Source organism: Homo sapiens, chromosome 5, assembly GCF_000001405.40.
Source record: "Homo sapiens chromosome 5, GRCh38.p14 Primary Assembly".
In the NCBI taxonomy this organism is placed as follows: domain Eukaryota; kingdom Metazoa; phylum Chordata; class Mammalia; order Primates; family Hominidae; genus Homo; species Homo sapiens.
This window is the reverse complement of record NC_000005.10, coordinates 154,317,333-154,334,257: the sequence shown is the minus strand read 5'-3', so window position 1 is coordinate 154,334,257 and position 16,925 is coordinate 154,317,333. Positions and strand designations below refer to the sequence as shown.

General features: G+C 44.2%; 1 protein-coding gene across 1 annotated transcript in view, besides 1 other annotated feature; it reads right to left on the bottom strand.

The window, feature by feature from the left end:
- The window catches only part of GALNT10 (polypeptide N-acetylgalactosaminyltransferase 10), a 230,252-nt gene that overhangs the window by 86,727 nt on the left and 126,600 nt on the right, over nt 1-16,925 (bottom strand). Inside the window, exon 4 of the mRNA NM_198321.4 lies at nt 4,520-4,686. Within this exon, the coding sequence (NP_938080.1) occupies nt 4,520-4,686 (167 nt within the window). The remainder of the gene's footprint in view (nt 1-4,519; nt 4,687-16,925) is intronic.
- Nucleotides 15,241-15,360: a silencer, noted in NCBI's record as "silent region_16539". NCBI's record gives its function as "represses an Ori minimal core promoter by ATAC-STARR-seq in GM12878 lymphoblastoid cells {active_cell/tissue: GM12878}" and the evidence as "EXISTENCE:reporter gene assay evidence [ECO:0000049][PMID:35858748]".

Sequence of the window (16,925 nt, the reverse complement as noted above, 5' to 3'; positions counted from 1 at the left end):
ACAAAGCTCTGGATCTTATTTCGAGAATTCATTTGCTCCAATTTTGTCTCCTACCTGAGGTCTCGACCCTTAGCTGAATTACAATTAGTTGCCCTGAGGATCCTGGAGGAGATTCATTTCAGAGGAAAATGCCTTCTCCTAGGCAGTGCCAATCTAGCTTGTAGTTAGCATCTATGAATTTCAGCTCTGAGAACAGCCTCTGCTAATGCAGCCCAGAGAAATCTATCTTGTAGGATGGTCCATATTTGCCGTACTTTAGACAGGCCTCTCCATAATTCTGAAATTGTTTCTCCCAAATCTCGTTTTTAAAACAATCACTGCTGAGTAAGTTTTCTTCCAAAGCTGCCTTGAGAATTTCTTCTTGAAACAAGAATAATGATTGCTTTTCTGAAAAATGCAGGCTGCAAAACATGACAGCTGAGGTGCAAGTCTGAAGGGTGTGAGGTGGGAGTCCTCCTCTGGGCTGGGTGCCTAATTGGTTGAGAAAAGGGGGCAGTGATCAGGGGGCCTCGGTTTTCATTCTCATCTGTGAAATGGGACAGTATTATTTTTCTTCTCTATCTTTTTAGGATTGGGTATGGCACCACATTGAATTAATATTTTTGCTCTCTGGAGAAACAGATGCACTTAGAGAATGATCTTGTTATGAAGTGTACCTTTTCTTTGTCAAGACTGTTATACTTTACTGGTGGGGGAGGGGGTTATTCTGTTATCTTTACCACTATGTACACTGAGGAAATTGGGATATTTAGAGGTACAAACCATTATAGGTCAGGACTAATCATGTTTGATAATGAATTCTTTTCGGCAAAAAGTTTGCACCGTAATACAATGGGAAAGTAATTTATTAAGAAGTGCCCTTGGAAATAGAAAGGAATAACGTGTTTCTGCAGATGTGTCACTTAACCACCCAAGGCGAGTGGGGACAAGGCTGCACTGTGGCCCAGATATGGGGTCTTGTCCCTCTCTTGCAACCAGCTGGCTGTGTGCTCCTGGTTAAGTCTGCCTACTGCTCCAGGCCTCGGGCTTCCCATCTGTAAAATGAGCAGGTTGAGTTACACAGTGGTTTTCATATACTTCTTTTAGCAGTGTAACTCCCCCTAGTGAACACTTTTTCAGAAAGTAAATACAGACCACACCAGGAGAGGCACCTGAACCCCACATGTGCCTGTGAGGTTCTCCATACTTCTCACAGCGTTTCCTGAGACTTCTCTGGGGCCTCTGCTGCTCTGAGGAGCAGGCACAAAGTCACGGGCCTAGATGATCTTGAAATTCTTTTCTAACTGAACAAGGAGAGATGCTTGTTTTGAATCTGGCTGAGGTCTGGTTTATTCCATGTCTGAAGGACGGATGCCCTGTGATACCCAGAGGGGGATCCTGCTGAGTGCTACAAGCCCAACCCCAGGGCAGCTGGTGCTTCAGAAAAACAGGTTACATACAGGGACCCGAGCCTGAAAACACAGATGCGGGCCAGCACCAGTCACTGCAAGAACTGCAGTGTCTTCCACAGCCACATCTGTCTTGCTGGATGAAGATGGCCCTGCTGCTGGTGATGGTTTTCTGTATGCATGGGTAGCTGCCATACATTTCCTCCCTCCCTCCTCATGCATCTATTCACTCATTCACAAACATTTACTAATCACCTCCTTCCAGACCACAAGTGGTCTAGTGGGGGAAGACCGACAATGAATAAACAGCTCAACAAACAGCCATGTAACCGCGCATGCAGCATGGTGAATAATGGTAGTGGTGCAGCCTAAATGATGATGGGATGAGGCGAGCCAGCCATTGGAAGAACTGGGAAGAGGGCGTTCAGGCAGAGGAAGGGCACAGGATCCCAAGGCAGGACAGAGCATGGTGTGTGCTGTGCTCCAGGACAGAGAGCCCTGCTGTGGCTGGGTCTTTGGGGAGTGTGAGAAAGTGAGCGCAGCCCTCACTGCCACTGCTGTGGCCCTGAGAAGGAGTACAACAAGGAGCCTGCTCAGAGCAGGCAGCCCGTACCTGAGGGAAGGCTCAGGTGTTTGTCCCCAGGTGGTGGAGGCTGTTTATGCTGCAGAAAATCAATCACTTGAGCAGTTCGCTCATTTTTTTCCCTTTCTGCTGCCCAGCTGTGAGCCCTTGGCCTGTGGGTGGCAGCTCATGCTGGGAGAAGGATGAGGCTGGGAGAGGAGACTGGGAAACAGAAAGCAGAAGAGAGGGAGCAAGAGGCAGAAGAGGACCCAGGGTCTGGGTGCTGAATCCACAGACCTAGGGGTACTGCTCCATGGCCTGTGATTCTGGGCGAATTACTTAGCTTGGGCACCTCATCTGAAAGGAGGGACCCCAAGGCTTCCCTCAGAGGCTGCTGTCAAGAATAAATGAGAGAATATATGGGCCTGGCATATTGAGCTTCTCCCCAAAATGGGGGCTGCTATTATAAAGAGAGGGGTGAAGGGACAGGGACATATTTTAGGCGGAGGTTGAGACCAGAGACTGTTTGCTCAGTGTTTTACAGTTTGCAAAAATCTTCTTCCCTACAGAAAGGAAAGACATACCTGCACCCACACATCCGTCCTGTACATGCACCTCTGTATACTCATCCCTGACTCCCCTTCCTGCACACCAACCATAAGGAATGTCCACAACAGAAATGATAACAAGCTCAGATGTCTATCTTTAATGTTCACTCTGTGCCAGGTACTGTCCTAAGCACTTGATAGACATCTATTAACTAATTTGACAGTCACAGCCACCTAAGAGGTCGTAGGTACTATTGTGATCCCATTTTATAGATGAGGGAACTAAAGCTCAGAAAGGGGAAGTGACTGGGTCAAGGTCACAGAGATAGTATGTAGCAGGGCCAGGATCAAAGATATAGATATTGCCAGGCTCTCTGCCAAACAGCAGGACTATGGGATGAGGAAGGCACACCCCCACCACCAGCAGGCTCATAGGCCTCGCTTTGTGGACACAGATAAATCTCATATAGTGTGCTCAAGGCTTACTGTTAGTACTTCCAGGGTGGAAGTACTAAGAAAACTGGAGAACCAGGCTCTGGTTCATCAAACACGTAGTAAGCACCTACTGTATGCCTAAGGAGCTGGGATCAGTGGTGAACAGGACCAATGTGGTAGTCCCTGCAATCAAAATAGACAGTCTAGTAGGGGAGGCACACAACACACCAATGTTCACACAAATATGTATTTTAATTCCACCTGTGATAAGTGGTAAGGAAAAGGAAGGAAACGTAAAGGGTAGCACGAGAATGAGTGTATGTCAAGAGTTAGGGAAGACTTTATAGACCGGGTAAGAACTGAGTTAAATGTCTACACACACACAAACACACACACACACACACACACACACACACCCTCTCTGTCTCTCTGAGGCCTCTGTACTAAACGCATGTAATTAAGAGTGCGGTATTAAAACGGGGCGATGGGCAGGTGAGCCGCTCCTGAAACTGTCAGCTGCAATTATTCTGGAGTGCACGCATACTCCCTCTCTTCACTGCTTATTAGTGCCTCTGCAAGAAGGTGAGCAGAGGAAAGGGCTTCTCTTAATTTTGCTGCAATTGGTGAAAGCTTTGATGCAAAGAATAAGCTTGAGGCCACTGGCTGAAGGGCAATTTCCTCTTAGATTTCACTTTTGGCCCCATCTCTGTGTCTCTTAAACCCGAGACTGAGTTATTCCACAGGGTAAGACTCACAGCTAAGAGGCTCTGGATGTAGCTAAGATCACATGCTTGGGGCCAGACATGGTTCGGTCACCACATGACTACATGAGAGCTGTGTGACCAAGGGTAAGTCACTTAACTTCTCTGGGTCTCAGTTTTCTCATCTGTAAAATGGTGTGCCAGACACTGCAATCCCAGCTGGGCTTACTTGACATCTCTAATCCACTTCTCCCTTTCCTAACTCACCAAAGAGGCCACAAACCAAAACACTCACATTCCCTGCCTTCCTTGCAGATAGGGGTGCCCAGATGTCAGAGATCTGGCTGAGAGTCTACAGGACACTTTCCTGAATTAGAAGGCAAAACCTTGACAGATGAAGGCTTTGTGCCCTTTGCTCTCCACCCTTTTCCCTGCCTGAAAGGCAGACTTGCCAGAGGTACCATTTTGTGACCATGAGGATGAGGAAGCAGAAACAAAGAAACAGCCTGGTTCTTGGATGACAGCGCTGAGCAGCCAGTTGTACCAGTCCTGGATCTCTTGTTATGCAATATTTAATAAATAGATAGAGACAGATAAGTGAATGAATCCTTACACTTGTTTGAGTTATTGTTTATCAAGTTTTCTGTTTTTTTTTTTTTTTTGCAGTTAATACATTTCTAAACAGATATGCAGGGGATAAAAATGGCAGTCACTTCATGAGTTGTGAAGATTAAATGAGAAAATGTGTGCACAGTGCAACGTCCAGGCATTTAGCCAATGATGGCCTATATGTTGATGCTGCTAAAGAAGGGAAAACCTGCCATCCCTTTGGTGAGTCGCCAGATGAAGCACAGAGGGTGGGAGGCTGGGTGGGACGGATCCTACCTCGATCACTGAAGTCGTCGACCAGTACAATCTCGGCGACCAGCTCTGGAGGCGAGCGATTGAGCACACTGTGGACGGTGCGGAGGAGGGAGGACCAGCCCTCGTTGTGGAAGGGGATGATGATGCTTGTGTTGGGAAGTGTCTCCAGGTAGCGCTTGCTGTTGCAGCTAGAGGGAAACATAAGGGGAGGCAGAGGACAGGGTCAGCTCTCCTCCTGCCAAGAGAACTCAGGCACAGGGTTTGGCTAACTGCAAACCCCACTTCCTCTCCAGTCTTTAGGGAATGAGCAAAATCCAGGGATACCTTGGTCACACAGGAACTTCTACATGACATCCCAAAGTCCTACCTCCAATCTCTGCATATACAGCACACGCGGATATGTATAAAAGACCTCCCTGAGTTTGAATAGTTGTGATTTCATGTGGAGGACTGCCCTACAGTAACACTCTGGCCTCTCTGTCCAGCTGTGATATTGTGATTTATAATAAGAACTATAGACTTTGGTCTTTGTCCCTGGTTCCTGGCACAGAGCTTCTAAAACTTGTCATTTCCTAAGCAAAAGGAGTGCTAGGAAAATCTTATGTTCTAATATTTCGTCTTTGACCCCAGTTCTTGATGCAGAGCTCCTAAATCTCTTGGTGTTTTCTGGGTGACAGAGGCATCTTTTGTTCTAATGAGGTGACTCTTGGTGGGCTCCAGGAGGCGGGGTGGTCACCAGAAAGAACATGCCATAATTAGAAGCTTGGAACTTTCAGCCCCAACCCACCATCCTCCAGGAAGGGGACAGGAGCTGGAGATCATGATGATAATTGATCATGCCATGTGATGAGGCCTCCACAAGAATGTAGGAGGTCCTTCCCACAGACCCTGCCCTATGCAGCTCTTCATCTGGCTGTTCATTTGTATCCTTTCTAATATCCTTCATAATAAACTGGTAAACGTGTTCCCCTGAGTTCTGTGAGACACTCTGGCAGATAATCAAATCTAAGGAGGGGAACCACCAATTTACAGCCGGCTGGTCAGAATTACCCAAGGTCTGGATTTGCAAATGGCATCTGAAGATTGGGGGTGAGGGATAATCTTGTGGGACCAATCCCTTTACCTGTGGGATCTGACTCTAACTCCAGGTAGGTAGTGTCAGAATTGAATTGAATCACAGGACACCAGGCTGGTGCTGGAGAATTGCTTGTCGGGGAGCCCCCCTCCCTGCCCCACACATTTGGTCACAGAAGTATTCTGTGTTGCATGTGTGAACAGAGAGGAAAAAACAGTGAGTTTGTTTTTTCATATTACACATTCCTCTCCAATGGAGGAGAAATGATTTATCCATGAGTTTGGAAGAATAAACTGGGCTTCAATGGCTCAGCCCCTCCTCTCTCTCCCTGGGCTCTAGTCTCCACCAGCCCCACGGTAAGCTTAGGGGTGGAAGGCCCTGCCCCTTGTGCGTCTTTCATACCATTATAACACCCAGAAGAATTAACATTGTTCCTTAATATCATCAAACATCTAGTTGGTTTGCAAATTTCCCTGATGTTACGTCTTTCTATAGTTGGTTTGTTTAATACAGGATCAAAACAAGGTCCACGTACTGCATACAGCTCATGCGTCTCCTAAGTCTCTTTTATACATAAGCTTCTGCCCTCCTTTTTTTTTTTCCCCTTCGATTTGTTTGTTGAAGAAACTGGGCTATTTATCTTATAGGAGTCCCTGCAGTCTGCATTTTGCTGCTTGCATCTCTGTGGTATCCTTTAAACTGTTCCTCTGTCTGTCCCCCTTTAGTTCTTGTAAACTGGTAGTTAGATCTATAAGCTTGACCTAATTCAATAAGCTATTCTGACAGCCTCTTCAAAGGTGGTGGTACAGGGATCCCTTAGGAGACACATTGTGTCCAGTTGTCTTTCCTTTTGTGATAATCGATGCCTAAATATTTTATTTCATCAGGAGTTTGAAAAACGATTACATTCTAATTCTATTACTCCATCTTCATTTACCAGCTGAAATTCTTCTATAGAGAAAACTTTACCACATCAACTATTCGTTCACCCCAAAGTATAGGAAAGGCAGGGTAAGTTCTTGATTCTTTACAAGTCTTTAGAATGAGCTGGTTCCCCAGCATCCTCCAACGATGGTCAATTATGTTAACTCACAAATGGAAACATAATTAATGTGTTTCAATCAAATGCAGTTATTATTCTTACTGGTTCCCAAATAAACCCATCTTTAGCCAAAAGGAGTCTTCTCAGGTTGGTTCCTGAGTCCTTTGGACATGATCAGAGTACTGATAGCTTCTTTGTTTTACGATAAAAGATACGAAAATATTCCCCAGGCTTAACTCACACATTTCCTGCCCTAACCTGGAATCAGCCATTCTGCCAAAGAACTTTTAATCCTTCATATCATCAATATCACCATTCGGATGCTGCAACATGAGCACTAAGGGTGTTCCTTACTACTAGGTTGGTTATAGTTTCTATGCCTTTCCAGTGGTCAGAACTACAAATATATTTTATTTTTTATTTTTTTGAGACAGGGTCTCAATCTGTCACCCAGGCTGGAGTGCAGTGACACAATCTCGGCTCAATGCAACCTCCATCTCCCAGGTTCATGCCATCCCACCTCAGCCTCCCAAGTAGCTGGGACTACAGGTGCACGCCACCCTCTGCCTGGCTAATTTTTGAATTTTTTTGTAGAGACAAGGTTTCACCAAGTTGCCCAGGCTGGTATGAATATATTTTAAACAATACATTATGAGTTTAAGCAGAAATTTTATATTTAACATATAGAATTACTGAGTTTTACTGAACTCTAATTTTATATTGTATCTCCTTTGTATTGAGATATAATTCACATACCATAAAAGTTACTCTTTTATAATTTAGTAGTTCTTAATATATTCACAGAGTTGTGCAAATATAACCACTGTCTAATTCCACAACATTTTCATCACTCCTAAAGAAACCCTGTGTGTACTAGCGGTCATTCCCCATCTTCCCCTCCTGCCAGCTAGCTGCTAGCAATCCCTAATCTGCTTTCTGTGTTCATGGATTTTCCTAACCTGGACATTTTATATAAATGGATTCATATTTGAGGCTTTTTGTGTCTGGCCACACTTGGTGTAATGTTTTCAAAGTTCATCTATGTTGTAGCATGCATCAATGCTTCATTTCTTTTTCATAGCTGAATAATAGCCCATTGTATGAATTCACCACATTTTATTTATCTATTCATCAATTAATGGATATTTGGGCTGTTTCCCCCTTTTGGCTATTATGAATAACATGAATATGAACATTCATGTGCAAGTTTTTATGTAGACATGTTTTCAATTCTGTGGGTACATAGCAAACAGCTGGATTGCTGGGTCAAAGGTAACTCCATTTTTAACTTTGTAAAGACCTGTCAAATGATTTTCCAAAGTGATAACACCATTTCACATTCCCACCAGCAATGTGAAATGAGATTTCCAGTTTCTCCACATCCTCACCAATTCTTGCTATTGTCCATCTTTTTGATTATAGCTATCCTAGTGAGTGTGAAGTGGTATCTCCTTATGGTTTAATGACTAATGATGTTGAGTATCTTTCCATATGCCTATTGGCCATTTGTACATCTTCTCTGGAAAAATGGCTAGTAAATGTATATTTTACTTTCAGGTTTTTTTTTTTGCTAGTGTGTAGAAATACAATTGATTTTTGTATATTAATTTTGTATCCTGCAATCTTGCTGAGCACATTTATTAGTTCTAATAATTTTGTATAAACTCCTTAGAATTTCTTAGGTACAAGATAATGTCATCTACAAATAGAGGTAATTTTACTTATTCCTTTCCAATATAGATGACTTTTTATGTCTTTTTCTTGTCTAATTGTCTTGGCTGGCAACTCCAGTACAATGCTAAACATAAGGCAAGAGCACACATCCTTATCTTGTTCCTGATCTTAGGAGGAAAAGCTTTCAGTCTCTCACCAGTAAGTAAGATGTTAGTGTGGGTTTTTCACAGATGCACTTTATCAGCTTGGAGCAGTTCCTTTCTATTCCTAGTTTGCTGAGTGTTTTAATCCTCGAAAAAGAAGTGTTGGATTTTGTCAAATGGCTTTTTTTTTTTTTGCATCTACTGAGATGATTATGTAAGTTTTGTCCTTTATTTTATTAATATGATGTATTTACACTGATTTTCATATATTGAACCAGTCTTGCATTCCTGCAACATCCTACTTGGTCACAGTGTATAAACTTTCTTATATATTGCTGAATATGGTTTGCTAGTATTTTGTTGAGAATTTTTGCATCAATACTTATAAGGCACGCTGGTCTATAGTTGTTATGTCTTTGTCTGATTTTATTGTATCTCTTTTGCTAAAAATATAAATTCTTAACATTAATATAGCTACTTATTTGCTTTTTTCTACAATATATAATAGTTTCAGAAAACAATACCAATATTATGGCTAAGAGTATGATTACAGAAAAGTTAAGATATTTGTCTCTAGCATATATATAACTAGGAATCTACAGTCAAATTTTTATGTTTTTAAGTCACTTGAAACAATTCCTCTCAGAGGCACGGTTAGGCCACCAACTCACATACATTGGGCTCATTTATTTCATTTAGCTCTTTATTTTTAGGGATTGCTTTCTGCATTTAGTTTTGACTTAATCTTGTTTTTATAATTATATTAAATATTTACATGGTTCCCAAGTCAAATCCAAAAACCAAGTAATCCAATGATTTCTGGCTTTTATCTCTAATCTTCCATCTTGTTTTTTCCCTCCTTCTAGGACTCCATTTTATTTTATGGTTGATCCTTGCATTTTTTCTTTCTAAGCAAGTCGATTTGGTCACACCACAACATTTTACAGAAATAAGGTTTATCAATTTCATTTCAATAAACTCTATGATTTAGCTTTAGTTCAGAAGAGGAATAAGAGGAGGGCAGCAACTTACTGAGTTCTAAAACAGTGATTCTGAAAGTGGTAGCATCACCGAGAGGTTCTTGTTAGAAATGCGGATTCTCTGGCCACCCCAGACCACTTGACTCAGAAACTCTCAGGGTGGGGCCCAGCAATTTTTATTTTATCAAGCTCCCTGGGTGACTTTGATGCCCACTCAAATTTGAGAATCATTACCCCAAAATATTCACATCCATAACTGGTAGATATTGGGTTCCCTGGGAACAGATCTTGAGGTGAAAATTGTTTTTTGACGGCTTCTTGGGAGGCACTCTGGGGAGATTCACCTGTAAAGAGGTGAGACAGGCAGAGGAGTGAGGAAGAGGCTGCACCCATGTGGCTGCATGTGAGCCCCTGGCCCATTTTACCAGGAACTCTGCAGCTGAGAAGGCCTTTCTAAGTGGTCCTAGAGTGAGACAAGCAGCCTGGCCTTTATATCCAAGCATCAATTAGTCATTGGGAGGGGGCATAACCTTCAGCAAGGCTGTCTAGGGCAATTCCCAGTGGGAAGCACAGCTGTGAGCTGCCCACTGCCCCTCCTGCCAGCAGCTGGGGACACTGCATCTGCACAGAGCGCTGCCTTATCACTCAGCACTGACAGAACCCCACATGGAAGGCATGATTACCTTCCCCATGTTACACACAATGAGCCTGAAGCACAGAGACGGTGTAGAAATGTATGCAGTCACACAACTAGAAACAGTAGGCTCTGAACCTGGTACTCACCCCAGAGCTTGCCCTCTCAACCATGAGGCTGACATTCACAGACCACTTTCACATCCAAATTTTCACCAGAGCCCCAGGGAGCAGGCAAGGCAGGGCTTCTATCCTCATTTCACAGAAGGTGCTGAGGCTCAAGGCAGAGGCGGTGGCCAGGAGAAGGTGGAATTCCCAGTGCTGCGGCACTCCACAGTGTAACACAGCCCTGCCCCTGTAATGGGGCTTGAAGCACTGAACATCGTAGGGGGTGGTAGCAGCATTCTGCCTGCCATACCTGGTTTCAGTACCTGACAGGATTTCAGATAATGTTCAAGACAAGCCTGCGAGGAGGAAGGGATGCTGAGGGAGGCTCAATGAGGCGAAGGAACCTGCCGAGGTGGAGAAGCACCAAAAAATAGGGCTTCCTCTTGGTTCCTCGAATATGAGCAGGGGTTCCCCTGACCTCCCTGTCCATACCTGCCCCCGCTACATACATCACCTGACTGCCTGGCTGGCTGTTCCTCATATCTCCACATCTTAGCTTGAAGGTTGCCTCCTCACAGAAGTCTTTCCTGGCCCCTCCTTCCCCAGCTGTAGGTAGGTCCCTCCTGATACTCCGTCCCAGGGATCAGTCAAAACTATGGTCCGAAGGCCAAATCCGGCAGCCTGTTTTTGTGTGACCCTCAAGCTAAAATGACTTTTACATTTTTTTTTTTTTGAAATGGGGTCTTACTCTGTTGTCCAGGCTGGAGTGTGGTGGTGCAATCGTAGCTCACTGCAGTTTCAAACTCCTGGATTCAAATGATCCTCCCACCTCAGTCTCCTGAGTAGCTGGGACTACAGGTGGGTGCCACCATGGCAGGCTAACTTTTAGAGTTTTAACAAAACGAAACAACATACAAATCAAAGTAGACTATTAAATAGAGACCCCATGTGGCCCGCAAAGCCCGTAACATTTACTATCTGGCCCGTTACAGAAAAAGTTTGCTGAGCCCTATTCAATCTCCTAGAACCCTATGCTTTTCTTCATTGCACTTTATGTATTTTATCTGGGTGTTTACTTGTCTGTCTTCTTCCCTAGAATGTAAGCTCCATGATGAGGGAAATTTTTATGCTTAGCCTAGCACAGTATCAGGCACACAGTGATCAATAAATATTTGCTGAATGAATAAATGATACCAGAGTTCAACTTCAGTCTTTTTATACCATATCCCAAGTTCTTTTGTCTCCGTATCTCTTGATTTGTAGCTGTAGGGCAGTGTGATTCTCTTGCAGGAAATGCTCTTGCCCTTGCCTGCAGGGAGGCCAGGATCCAGGCAGGAGGGGGAGTCTCAGGAATTGTACCAACATGGTGAGCTCTGGCTGAGGACATCAGCTCCTGTGGGAGGATAGGGAATTTTCCCAGGCCCAGAAGAGGGAACCTGAGGACCAGGCAGGCTCAGAAAGAACAACTGCCCACCTGTGTCTCCAGCCAGAAACCAGGCATGGTAAGCAGAGTAGCAGCCCCCAAGGATGGCCATGCCCTAATCCCCGGAACCTGTGAACATGTGTACCTTATGTAGCAAAGGGGGCCTTGCAGACATGATTGAGGTTAAGGACCTGGAGATGGGTTTGAGGAGCCAGGATTATCTAGGTGGTCCCAATGTAATCACAAGGGGTCTTTAAAAGCAGAGAACCTTTCTGTCTGCATTAAAAGATGAGACAGAAGAAGTAGAGATTTGAGCTACGAGAGGGACTCCACCCACGGTTGCTGGCTCTCAAGATGGAGGAAAAGGGTCGTGAGCCCAGGAAGATGGGCAGCTCTTAGCAGCTGGGAACAGTCGGCAGCTGATAGACAGCCAGGGAACAGGAGCCTCAGTCCTCAACCCAGACAAGCAACGTTCCCCTAGAGCCTCCCAGAAAGGAAGGTAACCCTGCCACTGACACCTTGATTTTAGCCTGGTGAGACCCACGCATGATGTATTTCTGACCTACAGAACTGTAAGAATACCTCTATGTTGTTTAAAATGGTAAGAATACATTATGCATTGTGTTGTTTAAGCTTCCAGATCCATGGTAACTTGTTATGGCAGCTATAGAAAACAAATACACGAGGAGTCGTCCTTGATACCCTTTTGCCCAGGGTGTAAACATTATTTGCAAACATTTAAAAAGTGGAAGATTCCATACAAAACCCCTCATTTCTGGTTTTTCTTAAACTTGGGCAACACTGACCCCAGAGTCTCATGCAACAGCAATGGGCTGGAGGTGACAGTGGGTGCCCCTCTCTAGGGGGCAGGTGCTGTCTAGGGGGCAGGTGCTCTCCAGACACTTCGGCTCTCACCACAGCCTCACACCAGGGCAGCTTCAGCTGTTTCATTCCCTCATGTTAGCTCCCAGATCCCTGGCGATGCTGGAATCTGAGAGCCTGGAAGTAAAAAGCATCAAGGGAAGGGGCTCCAGAGACTGGTAACAAGTTCTGGGGGTGGCCAGGTGCAGTGGCTCACACCTGTAATCGCAACACTTTGGGAGGCTGAAGCAGGAGGATCACTTGAGCTCATGAGTTCAAGACAGCCTAAGCAATATAGTGAGACCTCATCTACAAAAATAAAAAAAACAAACTAACAAAAAAACAATTAGCCGGGTGTAGTGGTGGGCACCTGTAGTTGTAGCTACTTGGGAGGCTGAGGTGGGAGGATCATTTGAGCCTGGGAGGCAGACGAGGTTGCAGCGAGCCAAGATTGTGTCACTGCACTCTGGGTGACAGAGCGAGACCGTGTCTCAAGGAGAAAAAAAAAAAGTTTTGAGGAGAAACTTGTGACATCTCAGGGCAATGCATGTAACAACAAAGTCTCTTTGTATGCCATTGCAATCTACTGTTCAACTGTCAAAATGGGCAGGAGTCACTTTGCAACTTACTTTGAAATGCATCAAAACGTATAGTGGATTGAGGGGTGGAGAGAGGGTTAGATAGAGATGTGATCAAGTAAGTAAACCAATGCTAATTATGGACATGATGGGAACATGGGTGTTCGCTGTATAATTCTTTCAATTTTTCTGTATGTCTGATAATTTTTAGAAAGAAATGCTGAGGGAAAAAACAGGTCAGAGTCCAGAGACTTCTTAGTTTCAAATTGTACCTCTGCTAGAGGCACCAAGGGAAACTGTGGGAGGGAAGATATGTCCTTGCCCTGACTTAACCGTTGCATCTGGCAGAGAGCTCATTCCAGCTGTGTGAACAGGACTCCCCTGATTCCAGTAGTCCAGTTCTGATGGAAAAGTCAGCCTCTCTCCCTTTGGGACCTTCCAGACTTCCTTCACATCCTCTCTTGCTTTACCATCTTGCTGGCCTCTTTTTATCCAGTCCCCACACAGCCTTCCTCTGCCCTTTCCCCTTCTCTCTAATCCTTTTGATCATTTCATCCAGCATTCTCTGGGAATCTGCTCCAACTTCATTATGTTGGCCTTCACAAATAAATGAAACCACCCCTTCTTAAAAATCCCCTTTCCTTAACTCAGCTGAATCCTTTGCGGCCAAGAAAGACTGGTGATATCTGGTTTTCTACAAAAGTTCCTGCCTTAACATCTAATTTCACAGGAGGCTTGCTTGATTGAAGCAGGGTTGGGGGCGGGGTGGGGTGTTAGCTATAATAAATTGCCTGGGGTCCACGGGTGAAATACAATATAGCTATTACACAGCAGAAAGCCCTCACTCACTCCAGGCCCAGAGCCGGGCCCCACAGCCTGCAGTTAGACACACAAACACCATCATGCATTAAGGGAAGTAGACAAAGCCACAATAGACTAAATTCACTTCTAATTTAATTCAATCATGGAATTAAAGATTATTCAGAACTCAAATAAAAGGCTCAGCTTGGATCACAGCCCTGAACGTGTGCCTGTCTTTTAAATTTTTTTTGATCTCTCTTTCTCTCCCTCCTCTATCCATCCATTCATTTCCTAAATAAACACAAAACTTAAATTCGACTTTTGCCATGAGCACTAGTCATTAGTTTGGTCCCAGCTTAGTAGAGGTTCTTTGTTTAAATAAAAAATTGTGTGACCTGCTCAAATTAATCTCTCCAGTATCCAGCAGGGTACCTGGCTCTATAGACCTGCCCACAAGCCACCTTCCAGTTGAGAGCCCAAGCAAAGCCCCTTTTCTCCGCCTCTTATTAGGCTGCAGATCACAGCAGACAAAGGGGACCTGGGGACGACACAGAAGAAAATAGAAAGCCGCCACTCACACCAGTGACACTCCCATCTTAGCAGCCCCACTTAAGACTTGTCTACATGTTGTGTTTTAGGATCTCAACACTGGATGGTGGAGTGTGCCCTGTTCTTTTGTGTATGATAAACAAGAAGCATCCTTTTGTCCACATGTCCTCAGAAAGGAGCCACAGGGAAAGGGGCCTAGGGCACTGCTCCCATTGCAAAGAGGCTGGGCATGGCTACCACTGTGGGCCAGGCAATATAACCTCTGCTGCCTCATGGCTTACGCCTGACAGTTTAGAGAGCACTTTTCCCTCTCTCTCCTCTAATCTGTACCATATTCAAATGAGGGAGATGAAGCAGAGAGTGTTAACCCCATTTTCCAGATGAGGAAAATGGAGCTCAGAGGGGTAAATGAGTTGGATTCAGGCCTCAAATCCAGGTAGTATTTATTTAAAATAATATTTTTTAAAAATTTCAAAAGTGATCATTGCTAAGCACAAAAGTCTGGAAGACAGAGGGGCTCAAAGGAAAACTGGCAATAGCAAACATACTGTCCTGCCGCTAACATGTGGGGCTGATCTCTGCTAAACATTTGGGATGTGTCCTCTCTGTGTTCTCCTCTGCACATGTGCATTTGTTTTTACAACATGGCATAAAGCACACAGACTCTTCTGTGTCCTCCCTCTGTTTCCCTCACCCTAGATGGCATCCAGGTCTTTGTGGGCTTCCACATGCAGCGTGGCCTCCTGAGGTGCTTGGAAGAGTCTCTCTGGGGTCAGGACCAGGCAGAGTGATGGTCCAGCTGAGGGTCAAAGCAATGGTAGTCTGAAACTTCCAGCACACAACCTCAATGTTGAGGCCCTCTTGAATCAATACTTCTGACCCCCAAAGGTACTGTGAAAGAAGAGACTTCTGTGGAGTTTAGAATTTTGCAACTGAGAGTTGGTGGAAACATTTTCTCTGTTGCAAAAGCACTTTCACTATCCTTTGGTTTATGGTCTGATTAGGTTTCAACCCTGAATGCGCAAAGCTTAGTGAGAGGTGTACAGCACAGGGACAAAGACACACAATTGGGGATGTTGATTGACACACATTGAAATAGTGAAAAGAGCAGAAACAGTGAATGTCCACCAATAGGGGAAGATTAAATAAAAGATGAAAAATTCAAACTATGGAATGCTGATAAGCAGTTAAAAAATAAGGCAGAAAGTGACAATGACAATAATAGAAAACATCTGTTGAGGATTTCCAATATGCCAGACAGTGCTGTAGGCACTTAATATGCATTAAGTCATTTAATTGTCAAAATAATCTTACAATGTAGGGAATATAATTCTCATTACAAAGAGGAAGAAACAAGATAGAGAGAAGAAACTTGCCTATGGTCAAATAGCTGGCAAGGAATGAAGTCCAGATTTAAACCCATCTGTCTTTTATATATATATATATATTAGTATTTTATAGGGATAATTTATCAATCCTATTAATTGTATCAGCAAAAAAGAATGACTAGCTAAAAAGCAAATATTGAGGAAACTAAGTAGGTGTTTGAAATCGTGGCTTCTAGCCTTTGCTCTGCCATGCAACAATCCAAGTCAACAATCCATGCAACTGAGGTCCCAGCTGGACCTCAGTTTCCTTTTATGTCAATGAGGGAATGGGCAAGTCTGCATTTCTTCTCTTTCTCTTGGTAGCAGCAACCCGATTTTCCTTGGGGAATCTCCTACACCTCACCTGTATAGGGCTGGGGTGGAGCTGACTCATTCCTTGCCTTGAGGGTGGCCAAAGGAGCCTGGCTTAGCCAGTCATAGCATGTCACCTCTCCAGCCCCGTTATAAGTAGTTCTAGGACAGGCACCTGCAAATCAGAGAAAGTCTTTGCTGAGACAACTGGGAAAGACGCAAGTTCTTTTCTGTTGAGATTGAACATGGGAGGATATATATCTGGTCTGCCTGGGGCAACCATGTGGACTGTTCCTTGCCTCAGAATGAAGTTAACAGAGTGGAAAACAGAGCCAAGAGTTGGAGAGAGAGATTCCTACTGGCATCAGTCGGGGACCCGGATCGAGCTATGACTGAAGCCAAGGTCTATTCCTGGCCTTTTCAGTTATATAAACCAATACATTTTCTTTACTTAAGTCAGTTTGAGTTAGGTTTTTTGTCATTTACAACTAGAATAATCTTTGCTGATTTAACTTGATAATCCCCAGGTATATTCCGTCAAATGAATCTGTTTTGGACCCAGCGATGGCTTCTGAAGGACAAAGAGGCACAACTGTTGCCCAGACTTTACCTCTGATCTGAAGTGGGCAGGTTCTGTCTGCTATAGGAGAACTTTGCTTGTTCACCGACCAGGAGAAAGTGACCTGGGCAGAGGGCCATGATGGGATTGGGAGGAAAGGGAGATAACTCAGCTTGCTTGTGACCAAACAGCTCCTAATTTAACACTCCCTAAAGGATTCTGAGCTCTTGGGACACAGAGACATATATAATATACTAAGATGTACCATCAGGGCTTAATGCTGGAGCACTAGAAAACAAAAGTCAAAATACAAGAGAAGTAT